Source organism: Homo sapiens, chromosome 1, assembly GCF_000001405.40.
Source record: "Homo sapiens chromosome 1, GRCh38.p14 Primary Assembly".
NCBI classification, from domain to species: domain Eukaryota; kingdom Metazoa; phylum Chordata; class Mammalia; order Primates; family Hominidae; genus Homo; species Homo sapiens.
This window is the reverse complement of record NC_000001.11, coordinates 83,532,030-83,550,117: the sequence shown is the minus strand read 5'-3', so window position 1 is coordinate 83,550,117 and position 18,088 is coordinate 83,532,030. Positions and strand designations below refer to the sequence as shown.

The window sequence follows — 18,088 nt, the reverse complement described above, 5'->3', positions numbered from 1 at the left end:
TTTTAGCTCTACCTTCTACATTCAGAGGCAATTGGTGCCAAGGATTCCTGAGTCTCTGGGGACTTCCATGGTGTAGATCAAGCTGCTTCTCATCTTTTCCTCCTTCTGGCTCAGGATTCAGTTGCCTTGGGTGCACCAGGTCAGTTGCTACTCATCCATCTGCTTCCTAACTTTTAATGTTTTGTCATGCTTTCTTTAATTTGGACTTATGTCTTCAAAAAGTCTCATTATTATCATTCTAGTGGGACTTCAGGAGGGTACAGAGGGTAATGTGTATTATAACATTAAGGAAGACAGACCTTAAATAAATAAATGCATATAAGCACATCACTCCAAATTATAGGAATAACCTATAAAGGAAAATAGTAGGATAATTTGAGAGAACAGCAAAAAGGGACCTAATCTGGTCCCCTTTGGTCTTCGTGACATGGCTTTTTGAGAAAGCATTATTTAAGCTAAGCCCTAAAGATAAGTGAGAATCAGTCAGGCAAAGATATAGAGAAAAACATTCCCTGCAGATGAGCAGCCTTGAGATAATAGAAGAATCAGGACTCTGGGCTGAAAGTGACAGAGCCCAAGCCTAAGCTAAAAAAAGAGAACTGTTCAGTCCATATAAGTGGGACATCTAAGAGGTGGAGACAGTAAGGCCTGACTGGATCCAAGGATTTATATGAGGCCTCAGGTTTCTGTCTCTCTGTCCATCTCTTGGTTCTATTTGCCTTTGCTTGGCCTCATTCTCAGAGACTTCCTCTATTTGGTGGCAGGTTGTCCACTAGCAATCACAAGTTACATCATCCTTTACAGCTCCTGTCCCAGAGAAAAAGAGAGAGGCTTTCCCACCATTTCTTTAGAATCAGCATCCATGTATGAATTCTCACATTCCTTGGGATAATTACAGTATGGAGCTCTGCATTTGGCCAGACATGGGTCCAACCATACAGGCAGACAATAATTTGGCTCATGCAATGTACTCAAAGATATTTACTGTTAGAAGAATTTTGAGAGATCAGATTATAGAGATGTTAGGGTTATTTAAGGCAGACTCTTATAAGTGATGTTAAGCATTTGGAATTTATACTACATGCAATGAGAAGCTATTGATGGATTTTGATCAGGGAGTAACACAAGCACTGTAATTAGTGTTCATCTCATCCAAACTTTCAAATCCAATTACTTTTCCAGTCCCCTTACTGTGTCAGAGGCACCACCATCTTCCTGGTGTCTTAGGCTTACATTTTAAAGTCATCTTTGCGGTCTCTCTTAAATTTATCACCCATATAAAATTAGTCACTAAGCCCTATAGGTTTTCCCTTCCTGAAGTCTCTTTAATTTATCCTTGCTCCTGCTTCAAGTACATTGTCACATCCTTACAGGTTCTTATCACCTTGGACTTGAGTTTTTGTGAATAGTCTCCTAACTGGCTTCTTTTCTGTTTTCTCTCTGCTTCCAAGTCATCACACATGGCACTGTCAGATAGTCCTTTTGAAAATACCACTATCTTCTTGTCACTCCTCTACCCAGGAGCCTATTGTGGTGTCCTATCACTTAATGAATCATACCCAAATCCCCAGCCCAGAATCTAGAGCCTTCCGTCATCTGGCCCTGCTGTCCTATCTAGTCTTATCTTCCCATTATCCCTCCACCACAATAAGACATGGGCCCTGACTCCCCACTTCTTCCATTCCACAAGTGGGGGAAGATGGGCTGTTATAAATTGCTTTGCAGACAGAAGATGATAGAAACTCAGGGAAGAGAAAGGAGAATGTAAGCCATTGTAATAAACCACAACTGTGTTTGATAAAGAAGGGCTGAGGATGTAGTTGTGTGGCTAACCTGAACTCAGTGGTGTGGTCAAGCGAGCCTGTCTGAGTGAGCATGGTGGGCAGATGTTGATGCCCAGGAGAAAGATCCAACTATACATTTTCAAGATGAGGCATTGGCTGGAAGGAGGATATTTGCTCAGCAAGCCTTTCCAGGGTGTAATACCCACAACCTCTTACACAATGTGTGGGCCGACTCACGGGTTTCTGGTAACTTGCCCAGACTTTTCAGGGTCAATTGGTACTGCGGAGAAATGATGGATTGATTATTAGAGAGGTATGAATAGTGTCAGGAAACAAGATCAAGCCGGGTGGGATCTTATTACTTATTTTTGCTAAAATAGCTTTTAGGTGGGGGTTTGGCGTGGTGTTTGTAATATTCAGGAATAATATGTCATTACAGTGGGAAGGGAATCTGGCAACTTTTAAAAACCTACTAAAGTTCTAGGGGAAGTTGGGTAATATGGTTTGTAGCTAAATCCTAGGAAATAATAGAAAAGTTAAAAAATTTAACACAGGGGCTAGGCGCTGTGGCTCACGCCTGTAATCCCAGCACTTTGGGAGGCCGAGGCAGGCGGATCATGAGGTCAGGAGTTCAAGACCAGCCTGGCCAACATGGTGAAACCCCGTCTCTACTAAAAATACAAAAATTAGCCAGTCATGGTGGCACGCGCCTATAATCCCAGCTACTCAGGAGGCTGAGGCAGGAGAATCACTTGAACCCGGGAGGCAGAGGTTGCAGTGGGCCTGAGATTGTGCTACTGCACTTCAGCCTGGGTGACAGAGCGAGACTCTGTCTCAAAAAGAAAAATAAAAAAAAAAATAAAAAATAGAAACAGAATTGCTATTTTCTCTACCTGGGAATGATTTGGTGAATTGCTAACTACATTATCAATTACTGGGTGCCAGGAATAGACATAATTTGTTCAAATTTTGTAATTTCCATAATACTTGAAGTTATTTTGCAAAATGAGGAGTTTATATTAAGTTTTAAGGGGTAGAAGAGTTTTATTCATCCAAGAGAAAAATTTTTAAAATATGATACAAGGTCACAGTAATTCTGTGATGGAAAGAATGATGGCTCCCTGAAGATGTCCACACCCTGAATCCCTGGAACCTATGAATGCTAGTGTACAGGGCACAAGGAACTTAACAGCTGTGATTGACACTACTGGCCTTGAGATGGGGAGATTAGCCTTTCTTATCCAGATGGGCCCAGTCTAATCACATGGGTCTTTAAAGTTGGAGAAACTTTTCCAGCTGGGGTTAGTCAGCAAGAGATGTGACGATGGAAAAGTGTCAGAGAGATGAAATGCTGCTGGCTTACAAGATGGATGAAAGCCAGGGGAAAGGAGATCACAAGCCAAGGAATGTGGGAGGTTGAAAAAGGCACAGAAACAGATTCTACCCTGAAGCCTCCAGAAAGGAACACTTGCTGACAACACCTTGACTTTAGCCGACTGAGACTGCATTAGACTTCTGACCTGTAAAACTAACATAACACACCTTGTGTTGTTTTAAACCACTAAGTGCTTGGTCATTTGTATGGCTGCCATAGAAAACTAATGCATATAGAAAAATAATGCATATTATTTAGTAAATATATATCAGATGAATGGAATTCATTTAAGAAATTAATAAGAAAATCATGTAAACAGTTTTCGTCTGTTTGGATTAGTACTTATACATATTTTTAATAAATGATTCATTTTAAAACTCACATTGATTGAGCACTTGCTATGTACCAGGCACTTTCCTATGCTCTTGTATTAAATCCTCAAAGTAACTGTCTGAAATCATTACTATTAGTTGGTGAATTAATCTTTCCAAAGTCATCCACTTAGAAAATGGTGAAGCTGAGTTTTGAACTAAGGAGGCTACAGAACTCATTCGTTTAGTCACTATGACAGTGGTTCCCACATCTACCTGCACAATAAAATCACTTGGTGAGTTTTTACAAATCTTAATGTCCAGATTACACCCTAGATCAATTAAATCAGCATGTTTGAGTTTGGAGTGAGGCATCAGTACTTTTTAAAGTTCCCCCATGATTCCAAGTGTACAGCAAAGTTTGAGAACCACTGCATTCAGTGTACTGCCTCTCAAACTACAAGATAAATTTAGTGATTTATTGCATGTAGTAGCAAAAATTAGAACTCGATTTGTGTAAAAATACAATACAAATTACCTCTGACTCTAAGTTGGTGGTTTTGTCTTTCTTAGTACAGCAACTGTCGTTGGCTGGTTAAAAGGGCAGTCGTTAGTTAGTCCAAAGACTACAGTAACATTGATTGTGCCTGTAGACACAATTTGGATTGTCAGTCAAAATAATGGAGGGGCAGCAGTGGGGAAACCTTTCCCAAAATCAGACAAGAAGGAAGGAGAAACAAAGATCTTTATCTGGTATCTAAGCCAGAAGAGAATGGAGACCTGCCAGATGAGATCTGTGATCAAACTGCCTGTCTGGACATCTTGTCACCACTGTTGTTAAGTCTGTGTGCTTTACGTGTCTTCAGCCTTAGTCGGAAGCAGCTCTGCTCCTCCTTTACAGTTGGCACCATGCCTGAGAACCTATATTTCCTCTATTTTGCCATATCCTGGCTTCCTTGTGCTGTAATGGACAGCTTCTCTAGGCTCACCAATCTTGTTAGTAGGGGTAGTGTCCCCCTTCTGGTCAAGGAGCAGATTGGAAGTTGGAGCACTGTTGGAATTTTGGCAGCAATCTCTGTCTGCCATATTGGCAGATGACTGTTTTTCTCTTTAAATGACATTTTTTTTTTTGTGAGGTATATTACCCAACTTCTCCTCTGGCAGGAGAGACCCTTTGTGTTTTTTCATCTGCCGCAAAACTTAACTTTCTCAGTTAGTTTTGAAAACAGGAATTGGTTCAGCAGGTTTCAACTGGAAACAGGTGTTGATGATGATGTCCAAATCTTCAATTGAGGTTCTTCTCTTCCCTTTGCCAGCCTTTGCATGGAGTAATGAACAGACCTGTGTTAGATGTAGCAGATGCACATCTCCTCATGGGCCAGAACTCTTGATTCAAATCACAGGCTTGCCGAGAATTATCACAGAGATGAGAATCCTACATTAAAATGCACTTTTGTCTTACTGGTAATGATCACAGACCTCATTACATCATTTATTTGTATACACTAAGCCATAAACTTGCTTTAGCCAGGATTACCTCAGGATTCCTCGCTAAACACAAGGCAATCTTGTTGGCTTAGATCCTCCCACTTGGCTATATACTCTTTGCAATTTCACCAGAACTTTGCCAACACTCTACTCTGATGTGTGCTGTGTAGAAGTAGAAGGAAAATAGCTAAATCAAGAGAAGGAAAGAAGTAATTTACAAATTTTTCATGATTAGCATTATTGTTTTCTGTTGGACTTGTACTCATCTTGGTAAATTTTACAGATTATAATTCAATTTTATTTTTATCAATTCTTATTTTCTGAGTTTTTAAGTTAGGAAAGAAATTTAGTTAAGAGGGATGATTCCAAATGTGATTGTAGCTCAAGTGGAGTGGAGACCTCATTGTTTATCTAGTGAATTCATATAGCATAAAGATACAGGAGTATCAGCCAAGGAGTCATCTGGGGGCAATTGCATAAAACTCTCTTTTCTCATTGCACAACATCACCTGGAACAAGAACTCTAGGCTTTTCAAGATTTAAAGGTGGCTGAAAAATTCAGTGAAAATCAATGAGAATTGAGATTTTTAATAAATCACAAATTCATTAATACTCTAAAAACTACGCTTCAAGTTGGGAAAATCAGTACTCTTTCCTGATCATTCCTTTATCCTATATTTTCTTTGCAGTTAATTTTACTTTCATTTTCTCAAAGCCAATTTGTCTTCAAGACAGTTGTTAAGTCCTATTCTATGCCTTGCATTTTCAAAGAATTACATGGTTTCCTTCATCCTTAAAGATAATTTAACAAAGCTTACAGACACATTGTGTGTGTGCGCACACACACACACACACACACAAATTTATCAGCTAATATCAGTAAATGATCAAAGCCCCATGGAAACTATTGAAAATTAAACTGGGTTGTAGTACAATGGTATCTGCAATGTATTGGTTATTTATCCATGTTTATAAATAGGACACAAAAGCTTAATTTTATCATAATTGAAGAGCAATTTTGAGAAAGTCATGTAATTTAATGGTTTAGCTGTCTTTTATTGCTCTATGTAAATGGACTAAATAACAGCAGTAAATGTTGAACACAATCTAATGCACTACAATTTCTTTGGAACACAATTTAAATTTCAAATTATGTTTAATGCTTTTGTACATATCACAGGTCTCTTTTTTAAAGCTTATCACATGGAATTGATTTATTCAAGGAAACTAGCATTTGGAAAAAACAGGAGAATGGGTCATTTGGAAATATGATCAAATATGCTGAAAAATATGCGTCATTTACTTTTAAATCATCCTTTCCTTTCATTATTATGAACCTCACCAGTGCCTTCCTGTATTATATATTTAGATAGTCTTTGAATAAGACAACTTTTTCCAACTGTATTGTGTTATGTGGCCTCAAATATTTCCTGTTCCTTTTATGTAATTAGGCTCAACAGGAGAAGGTGATATAGAATAAGACACAATGTGTGTATATGTTGGCCCGTTTTTCCTGTAGAAATGATTCATTAATTGGCATCTGCCCTTGGTGCTATATTCACATCCATGCCAACATATCCTTCTGCATGAAATAATGTTCAATGAAATAGGGGAGAAAATGTTGTTCTCTTTGGATTCCATCTGATTTCAGAATGTTGTGATTAAGATACAGATGTGAAGGTCAGATAAAGAGGCTAAAAATAAAACATTTTTGTGAGAGGCAGTTAGAAGGCTTTAATGAAATTTTAAGATGGGGGTGTTAGAAATAAGCCAGGATGTCTAACTTGCATTCCCTTGGGCCATCACAACAGGGAAGGATTCCTCTAAAAAAAAAACTCATTCATGAAATGTATAAATCTTAGAAGGAAAACACTCAAAATATATCGTGCACACAACAATATGCTTTGGCTCTCATAGAATTTTCCAGTTTAAAAAATAGGGTTGTCTGCTCACAGGAAGACATCAAACAAAATTGAGAAACTATGGAAACACACTTGCTGCTAGGTTGAAAAGAAATCTGGGCTGGGCACGGTGGTTCATGCCTGTAATCCCAGCACTTTGGGAGGCCGAGGTGGGTGGATCGCCTGAGGTCAGGAGTTTCAGACCAGCCTGGTCAACATGGTGAAACCCCATCTCTAGTAAAAATACAAAATTAGCCGGGTGTGGTGGCACATGTCTGTAATCCCAGTTACTTGGGAGGCTGATGCAGGATAATCGCTTAAACCTGGGAGGCGGAGGTTGCAGTGAGCCAAGATGGTGCCATTGCACTCCAGCCTGGGCATTAAGAGCGAAACTCTGTCTCAAAAAAACAAAAACAAAAACAACAAAAAAAGAAGAAATGTGTAAATCTACTATAACAAAATTATTACCAAATATACTGCACAGAATTATTAATTATCAATGGACCAACAGACAAATGATTTTTCCTACATCTCTTGTCTTCTCAGGGTGAAGCCTTTTCATGCCTCCTGACAGTTTCAATTTTCAAGTAGTTGCTTAATTCAATAGGTGTCATTCATTTATTTGTGAATTCCTTCTTACTTTTGACAGACTTTAGGCATTTAATGGTAGACCAACCAGTAATGGAGCTCAAAGACTTATGAAGAGGACACATAGTAAACAAATAATTCTATGATTATAATAAATATATAGATGAAGACTGGAGAGATTTACTTCTTTCTGCTGGTTCCTGGTCCTATCACTATGAATCCAGCTTCTTGACAGTGGCAGCAGCAGTTCGTTCCAGTGGCCACAGATGACATCTATTTGCAGTTTTTCTAATACTCACAGAACAAGTCTCATCTCTTCCTAGTACCAGTGCCTCTCCTCAGAGGACTGAGTCCGTACCCTGTTTACTTTCTCCTGTAAGCTTCTATGTTTTAATAATTCCAACCTCTTCCTTTTGTTCCTGAGAGTGAGAGTTGTTTCCTGGGAGTGAGAGTTGTTTCCTGCAATTCCTATCTCTGTGATACCTTAGTGTTCCTATTTGCCTTTCACTTCCTCAATACCCATTAACAATCTTTACATTAAATTCTTTCTGTTAAAATAATTGGTATGGTGAAATCTGACTGAAATTTAGTAGATATTGTTGGTAAAACCCTAACATTAATCACATGTACATTTTTTTTATCCTAAAGACCTGCCTGGATCCCCTGTAAGCACTGAGAAACACATATTCAGAATATCTAAAGTCATACACAATAATAATTTTTAAAAATGTGATATGACCAAGCCAGGCATTGTGGTAGGCTTTGGGAGATTACTATTGATGAGTTTATAAGTTAATGGAGCAGATGAAAGTATAAACAATTGACTATAAAATCACTCAAGAAATGAACCTATGAAAGGTATTTTTAAGGGCATGCCAGCCTGATGATAGAGACAACTGGATAGATAATGAAAAACTCATCATTCCTTAACTTAGTTGTATTTGCTGGTTCACAGAAACTTTATCTGTTAACTTAGGTCCACTTCTGCCTTTGGCTAAGTGAAGATAAATATAAGTCCTAATGAAAAAACAGGAATCGTACTGTAAGTAGAAAATGAAACAAATGTTAAGTGGACCTGACACAATTAAAGAAAATTAGAGCAAGAACCTAGACTATTGTTGGAGGTACAGAACAACTTTTGTTATGTCTTGGTGTTTGGGCATTTTTGGAATGCTTGGTAACTTCTTTGGCTACCTCAATACCGTTTTTCTACCTTAATGCACCATTATCGCTGCAATACTACATTCTTTAGCATTAGCAACTAGGCCCATAGCCCTTGATATTCCCCTTACAATTCCAGGGTTTTGAGTTTAATGGTAGTTCCTGGCCCCTAATTGTCTTATTAGGTCATAGGTAATTGGATAAAGATAATTAGATAAGCTCTCTGATGCGCTCTGGATTCAAATGTCTATCTTCATGAAATAGCCCTCTATCGTATGTTGCCTAATACACAGTAAAATATTAGTTGGCGACAACCACTGTTTTGAAAAGCAAAGCAGGATAAGGGTGTGGAGAATAACAGGAATGTTATTTCAAATAGAATGGTTACTAAAGATCAAACCGATGACATGACATTTGAGCAGAGACCTAAATGAGGCACAAACCAAGCTGTTGGAAAGATGAAGTGGAAGAGCATTCCAGGCAGATGGAATAGCAAATGCAAAGGCCAAATGTGGACATGGTCTCGGCCTATTTGAGAAAGTGCATGGATGCTATGGAGAGGAAGTAGAGTGAATGAGGGTTAAATGGTAGGAGACTCTATTAACAAGATAGTCAGAGACAGGTCACATTGTAGATCATGGTAAGAATTTTAGATTTACTTATCAGTGTGTGCAAAGCCATTGGACATTGTTGAACAAGGAAGTAATGTGCTCTGATTTAAAATTTTAAAGGATAACTCTGACTTCTATGTGGAGAATAGATGGTTAGTGGCAGGAGCCAAGACCAAGGAGAATGTTATTGTAGTGGACATACTGAAGAAAAAGGATGGTTTGCAATAAGGTGGTTGTGATGCAAATGTTGAGAAGTTGCTGACTGACCTTACTGACGGTTTAGCAGTGAGGCTCCAAGAACCACTGGACAGCTGCTTCAAAGATGTGCCAATTACTGAAATGAAGAAATCTGTTGAGAAAGCAAAGCAGAGACACATACATCCAGCCTCCTGCCCACCCACAGGTTATAAAGGAACAATAAGTTTCATTTGAGATCCAATTTAATATTCAGTTGAAGAGGTCATATATGCATCAAGTTGAATGTCCAGGGGAGAGTTTAGGCTAGAGATATAAATGTAGCCACTATTGTGATACTGGAAGTCTTGTGATTAGATAAGATTATCTATGAGATAAGTGTAGATACAGAAGAAAAGAGGACAGAAGATCATGTCCCAGGGTACTCTAAAATTTAGACATCATGAAAAGGAAGAGGCAATGGAAAATGAAAGGAGGGTCAAATGAGGTAGGAGAGAAATCCAAGAGTCGGGTATGGAAAGGCCTAGTAAAGACAGAGTTTCAAGAAAAAGAAAGTGGTCACCTGTTCCACATTCTTCTGAGGGGTCAAGTAAATTTGTAGTAGTGCACTGACCATTGATTTAGCAATATGGAGTCATCAGCAACCAATATAAGGCAATATATGTGTGGAGACAAAAGCCTGACTGGTGCTTCTGTGAGAAAACAGGAGGTTGAGAAACAGTATAGTTAATTTATTTTTATTTTTATTTTTATTATTATACTTTAAGTTCTGGGATACATATTCAGAACGTGCAGGTTTGTTACATAGGTATACACGTGCCATAATGGGTTGCTGCACCTATCAGCCGGTCATCTACATTAGGTATCGTTAAATTTTTAAAGGGCTTTCTTTAAAAAGAATCAGGTGAATGGAGCAATAGCTGAATAAGATGCTTGATTAAGAGAATTTCTTATATTTTCTGTTGGCAGATATGCATAATTTTATCAATATGAAAATGATTTGGAAAAGGGGAAATTAATGGTGGACAAGAAATGAATAAAGACTCTAGGAACAAAGTCCTTGAATAGGCAGGTGGGGATAAAATGTAATATTATCATGTAGGGGTTTGCCTTTCATCCATGATGGAAAGAAAAGTACAGGAATGAAGATGCAAGTAGTCCAATAGATTTGGTGGTGGGAGACAGAAGAAGTTTTTTTCTGGTTGCTTCTTTTTTTAAAATAGACTGTTTTTAAAAAGCAGTTTTAGGTTCACAACAATATTGAGCAGAAGGTATAGAGATTTCCTATATATCCCTGCCCTCCAAACCTGCACAGGCTTCCTCATTAGCAACATCCCCCACCAGAGTGGTACATTTGTTACAACTGATAAATCTACGTTGACACATCATTATCACCCAGAGTCCATAGTTACATTAGGAATCACTCTTGGTATGTACATTCTATGGGTTTGGACAAATGTATAAGGATAGGTATAATTTTAGTATTTTTTTTTTCTTTGAGACAGAGTTTCGCTCTCTCCCCCAGGCTGGAGTGCAGTGGCATGATCTTGGCTCACTGCAACCTCTGCCTCCTGGGCTCAAGTGATTCTCATGCCTCAGCCTCCTGAGTAGTTGGGATTACAGGTGCGCACCACAGTGCCTGGCTAATTTTTGTATTTTTAGTAGAGACGGGGTTTCACCATGTTGGCCAGGCTGGTCTCGAACTCCTGACCTCAAGTGAGCTGCCCTTCTTGGCCTCCCAGAGTGCTAGGATTGCATGTGTGAGCCACTGCACCCGGCCCATTATAGTATTATACAGGATAGTTCCACTGCCCTGAAAATCCTCTGTGCTTCACCTGTTCATCCTTCCTCCCTCCTTACCCCTGGCAAGCACTGATTTTTTTTTTTACTGTCTCTCTATATTTATACCTTTTCTGGAATATCATATAGTTGAAGTTAGGCAGTGCATAGCCTTTTCAGAGTGGCGTCTTTCACTTAGTAATATGCATTTAAGTTTTCTCCATGTCTCTTCATGGATGATAGCTCATTTCTTTCTTTTTTTCTTTTTTTTTTTTTTGAGACGGAGTCTTGCCCTGTCGCCCAGGCTGGAATGCAGTGGCATGATCGCAGCTCACTGCAACCTCCACCTTCCAGGTTCAAGCCATTCTTCTGCCTCAGCCTCCCAAGTAGCTGGGATTACAGGCGCCTGCCACCCACTTGGCTAATTTTTGTATTTTTAGTAGAGATGAGGTTTCACCATGTTGGCCAGGCTGGTCTGGAACTCCTGACCTCAGGTGATCCACCCACCTCGGCCTCCCAAACTACTGGGATTACAGGCGTGAGCCACTGTGCCCGGCTACCTCATTTCTTTTTAGCATTGAGTCCAATATACAAATTGAATGTTCAGGGGAGCATATAGACTAGAAATCTAGAGGCCTCTTCCTCTTCATAACTTCTAAATATTAGAGTGTCCTGGGACTCAGTCTTCTGTCCTCTTTTCTTCTGTATCTACACTCATCTCATTGATAATCTTATCTAATCACAAGGCTTCCAGTATCACAATAGTGGCTGCATTGTCTGGATGTTTATTTTTCCATTTACCTACTGAAGGACATCTTGATTGCTTTCAAGTTTTGACAATAATGAATAAACCTGTTATAAATATCCAAGTTCAGGCTTTTGTGTGGACATAAGTTTTCAACTCATTTGGGTGAATACCATGGAAAGAAATTGGTGAGTCGTATGCTAAGAGTAGTTTTGTGGCCGGGCGCGGTGGCTTACGCCTGTAATCCCAGCACTTTGGGAGGTCGAGGCTGGTGGATCACGAGGTCAGGAGATTGAGACCATCCTGGCTAACACGGTGAAACCTCGTCTCTACTAAAAAAATACAAAAAAAAAAAAAAAAAAAAAAAATTAGCCGGGCATGGTGGTGGGCGCCTGTAGTCCCAGCTACTCCGGAGGCTGAGGCAAGAGAATGGCATTGACCCGTGAGGCGGAGCTTGCAGTGAGCCCAGATCGTGCACTGCACTCCAGCCTGGGCAACAGAGCAAGACTCCGTCTCAAAAAAAAAAAAAAGAAACTGCCAATTGTCTTCCAAAGTGGTTGTGCCATTTTGCATTCCCACAAGCAATAAACAATGAATGAGGGTTCCTGTTGTTCCACATCCTCCTTGGCATTTGGTGTTGTCAGTGTTTTGGGTTTTAGCCATTCTAATAGGTGTCAGTGGTATCTCATTGTTTTAATTTGCATTTTTCTTGTGCCATATGATGTGGAGTGAGTTTTCATATGCTTATTTGTCATCTGCATGTCTTCTTTGGTGAGGTGTCTGTTAAGGTCTGTTAAGGCCTATTTTAAAAATTGGATTTTTTTTATTGTTGAATTTTAAGAGTTCTTTGTGTATTTTGTGTAACAGTCCTTAATCAGATATGTCCTTTACAAATATTTTCTCCCAGACTATGGGTTTTCATTCTCTTGATAGTGTCTTTCAAAGAGCAGAAATTTTTAATTTTAATGAGGTCCAGCTTAACAATTCTTTCTTTCATGGATCATGCCTTTGGTGCTGTCTCTAAAAAGTCATCACCAAACCTAAGGTCATCTAGATTTTTTTTCTATCTTATCTTCTAGGAGTTTTGTAGTCCCACGTTTTACACTTAGGTTTGTGATCCATTCTGAGTTAGTTTTTGTGAAGGGCAGTGTCTAGATTCTTTTTATTTTTTGTGTATATATGTTCAGTTGTTCTAGCATCATTTGTTAAAAGACTATCTTTTCTTCTTTTTATTGCCTTTGTTCCTTTGTCAGTGATCAATTGACTATAGTTTTGTTGGTCTATTTCTGGGATCTCTATTCCATTCCATTGATCTATTTGTTTATTCTTTTGCCAATACCACACTGTCTCGATTATTGTAGCTATATATTAAGTCTTGAAGTCAAGTAGGGTCAATCCTCCAACTTTATTCCTCTTCAATGTTATGTTGGCTATTTTGGGTCTTTTGCCTCTCTATATACAATTTAGGATCAGTTTGTTGATACCCCCCAAAAAACTTGCTGAGACTTTAATTGGCATTGCATTGAATTTATAGATCAAATTGAAAAGAACTGACATCTTGACAGTATTTAGTCTTCCTATCCATAAATATAACTTTTTTCCATTTATTTAGTTTTTCTTTGATCTTGTTCATCAGAGTTTTGTAGTTTTCCTCTTATAAATCTTATATGTATTTTGTTAGGTTTCTACCTATTTCATTTTTGAGTGATAATTTAAATGGTATTGTGATTTTAAACTCAAATTCCACTTGTTCATTGCTGATTTGTAAAAAAGCAATTTACTCTTGTATATTAATCTTGTATCCTGATATCCTGCTATAATCATTTATTAGTTCCAGTTTTTTTGTTAATTTTTCTGGAATTTTCTACATAAATGAGTATGTCATCTATGAACAAATAAAGTTTTATTACTTCTTCTTTCTTAATCTATATGCATTTGCATTTTATTTCCTTTTCTTGTCTTATTAGCTAGGACTTACAGTTCAGTGTAAAAGCACTGATGAGCGGGTACACCCTTGTCTTATTCTTTATCTTGGTGGGAAAGCTTTGAGTTTCTCACTATCACATATGACATTAGCAGTAAGATTTGTTTTGTAGATATTCTTTATTCAGTTAAGAACTTTCCCGTCTATTCCTACTTTAGTGACAGTTATTATCAAGAGTGGGCATTAGATTTTGTCAAATTATCTTATGCATCTATTAATACAATCCTGTTATTTTTTTCTTTAGCCTCTTGATATGATGGATTAAATTAATTGATTTTCAAATGTTGACCCAGCCTTGCATACATGGGATAAATCCCACTAGTTCATGCTGTGTAATTACTTGTATATATAGTTGTATTCAATTTGCTAATATTTTATTGAGAATTTTGCATTTCTGCTCATAAGAGATATTGGTCTGTAGTTTCTTGTAATGTTTTTGCATTGTTTTGGAATTAGGGTATTGTTAGCCTCACATAATGAATTAGGGAGTATTTCCTCTGCCTTCTGAAAGAGATTGCAGAGAATTGGTATAATTTCTTCCTTAGGCTGGGTTCAGTGTCTCATGCCTGTAGTCCCAGCACTTTGGGAGGCTGAGGCAGGTGGATCACCTGAGGTCAGGAGTTTGAGATGAGCCTGACCAACATAGCGAAACCCTGTCTCAATTAAAAATACAAAAATTAGCTGGGCATGGTGGCATGCGCCTGTAATCCCAGCTACTCGGGAGGCTGAGACAGGAGAATTGCTTGAACCCGGGAGGTGGAGGTTGCAGTGAGCCAAGATTGTGCCACTGCACTGCAGCCTGGGCAACAGAGTGAGACTCCATCTCAAAAAAAAAAAAAAAATTCTTCCTTAAATATTTGATAGAATTCACCAGTGAATAGTACTTTGTTTTAAAAGATTATTAAATATTGATTCAGTTTTTAAAATAGATATAGACCTATTTGGATTACCTATTTCTTCTTGAGTTTTGGCAGATTGTGTCTTTTAAGGAATTGGTTCATTTTTCTTGTTGCTGCTTGAACTGAGAAACAAGATCAACAGCTGAGAGTGACAAGGGGAATAGAGGATATTAGCATTTTGAGAATAAAAGTGAAGGTATGGATGATTTGTCTCAGAAGTAGGAGAGTAAATTAATTAGAGCAATACAGTTGAATTGCTAAGCAGCGCTGAAGCTTTGAGTTTGTGAACATAAATATATGGTGATATGATTCTGCCTCTTCAGATACCTGGACAAAAGCAGAGAGTAGATGGAGAGTCCTATTTAACCAGGAATATAAATTTGGTAAGTAATTACAACAGAATAAAAGACAGGTGGAGGAGCTCAGGTATATGTAAGAGAATAGATATAATGATGGTCCGTTGAATAGAATACAAGTGGGTAAAGAAGTAAGTGAAAATATGACAGGATAATATACAGAGACATGGTGATTTGGTCAATATTTTTAAGGTTCTGGTGGAGTCAAATAATTGCATAAACATAGTATTGACATTTTTGAGGAGATGTAATTATTACTGGTATGAACACGGAGTGGTGGGCCTGATATAGGAAGAAGACAAGGTCACTGGAGATGAGGAGGTAAAGGAATTTCTAGGAATTGAATTTCCATTGAGTTTCTGGTTATTGGACAAAGATGACAAGAGAGTCAGTGGAGAGAAGTACAATAGGCCCGATGCTCCAGTACTCATGGAAGGAGAAAGAGTGACAAGAAAATCAGCAGAAGATCACAACAAGACTGGCTCCAGAAGGATGGTAGATGACTGCAACATGGCACGGGAGTAGAGTCCAATGGCAAATGTTTCAATGGAACAGGGCATTTTTAGGGATGTGGAAGAACAAAAGAAAAAGCAATGGACAAAAGCTCACTGGAGAACAATGAAAAGCAATGGAAAAAGCAATAAAAAATACTTTATTGGACCCAAAGAAACAGAAATAATTCTATTATAAAGACACATGCAACACTACTCACAATAGCAAAGACATGGAATCAACCTAAATCCCCATCAATGATAGACTGGATAAAGAAAATGTGGTATATATACACCATGGAATACTATGCAACCATAAAAAAGAATGAGATCATGTTTTTTGCAGGGACATGGATGAAGCTGGAGGCCATTATCCTTAGCAAACTAACACAGGAATGGAAAACCAAATACTACATGTTCTCACTTATAACTGGAAGCTAAATGATGAGAACGCATGGACACATACAGGGGAACAACACACACTGGGGCCTGTTGGAGGGTGGGAGGAGGGTGAGGATCAGGAAAAATGACTAGTAGGTACTAGGCTTAATACCTGGCTGATGAAATAATCTGTACAACAAACCCCCATGACACAATTTTACCTATGCAACAAACCTGCACATGTGCCCCTGAACTTAAAATAAAAGTTAAAATAATATAGTTCATTGGAAAAAGCAATTAAGAGTAAGAAGTATATACGGTCCTTTTAAACAGACTTAATGGTAAGTGGGGTGAAGTAGAAAAAATAAATCCCCCTTGGATGCACTGCAGAGGTAATAATATCCTCCAGTGGTGGCTGATTTCAGTTAATGCAAGAAGGTGAAGATGAAGGCAACATTCAAAGAAACGATTAAGTGGAATCTATTCAGATAACATAGTAAGATATGGAAACCAAATAAAAATCCATGTCCAGAATAAAGAACTTTTAAGATATTTAGCTAAGAGCAGTTAGAAAGTCCTGACTAATTAGCTTAATTTAAAAGTTATTGTTACAGTATCACCTACAGAGGCAATATTTATTACAGAGAAGAATTTTTTAGGCTGACTCTAGCTACTTTTTAAGTCCCATTGTTTTTTGTTGCTGTGTATGTGTGTGTGTGTGTGTGTGTGTGTGTGTGTGTGTTGCAGGTAGTATGTTATGTAAGATAATTTTTTTAGACAAGGTTATATACAAAGGTGTGCTTTCATGTGCTGTAGAACAGGAATCAATTCATGTGTGGGGTATAAAAGCTAACTGTGAGAAAGTCAGTGTTACACAAATGTAAGTGGGCTTCCTTTCTGAATAACTATTGTTAATTTCCTGTGTCTAATCATAGGTTTTCATTTGGTATTATACTTTTCTATTCCATCTTTGTTGCCTTTTTATACCTTCCAGACATGGTCAGTATTGACCCTGGTGATAGACACATGGCTATGTTTTACAGATAATAGAATCTTTGTTCATTTGTTGGTTGTACAACATACCTTACATGTTACCGCTTATCTTTTTATTGTGCTGGGCATGATTTCCAGCAAAATAGCTAGCAAATATGTTCACATTGAGGTATAAATCTTACTTAAAGTGAAACGTTAATATAACCATAAAAGCTTGGACTTTCCTCAGCCCTTCCTGGATGGACAATTGCTTGAGCTGTCCTTATATCCCATGGCTGGCATGTCAGCTGCTCTTTATTATCCTACTCATGCTGTTATGTAGGCATGTTGTCTCTGTTGCAATTTGGGCATGTCACTAAGATGACAAAAAAAAAAAAAAAAGCAGCCACCTGTTTCCATCATTTGTTCTTGGGCGTGGTGGTTAAGAGCATGTAGTTTCCGGCTGGGTGCAGTGGCTCACACCTGTAATCCCAGCACTTTGGGAGGCCCAAGGCAGGCAGATCACTCAAGGTCAGGAGTTTGAGACCAGCCTGGCCAACACGGTGAAACCCCATCTCTACCAAAAAATACAAACAAAAAAAAAGAAAAATTAGCTTGGCTTGGTGGCACATGTCTGTAGTCCCAGCTGCTCAGGAGGCTGAGGCATGAGAATCGCTTGAACCCAGGAGGCGGAGGTTGCAGTGAGCCGAGATTGCACCACTGCACTCCTGCCTGGGTGACAGAGTGAGACTGTCTGAACAAAAAAAACAAAAATAAAAAACAAAAACAAGAGCATACAGTTTCAAAAGCACACTGGATGGAAATGTCAGATAGTGTCAGAAAAACATGTTTACTTTGTGAAGAAAGAGATTATTTATACTTTGTGGGGACAAGTTAATTATCCCCTGCCTTAGAGGAGATGTCATTCCATTCTAGATATTTTTGGTAGGTCAATATTGAACAAGCAACTGAGCTAGTGGCACACTAAATGTGGGGGCAGTGAGCACCATCTGTCCTGGGTGCAGGGCCTGGAGAGAACTTGGAAAGAATAATAAAGCTTGCTAAAA

General features: G+C 38.4%; 1 protein-coding gene across 2 annotated transcripts in view; it reads right to left on the bottom strand.

The window, feature by feature from the left end:
• LOC107985043 (uncharacterized) overlaps window positions 1–18,088 on the bottom strand; it is a 57,359-nt gene that overhangs the window by 23,976 nt on the left and 15,295 nt on the right. Inside the window, exon 2 of one of the 2 annotated variants that reach the window (XM_047437626.1) lies at window positions 9,487–9,568. In XM_047437626.1, coding sequence (XP_047293582.1) covers window positions 9,487–9,568 — 82 coding nt within the window. The remainder of the gene's footprint in view (window positions 1–9,486; window positions 9,569–18,088) is intronic. The other variant, XM_047437627.1, reaches the window with a different exon arrangement.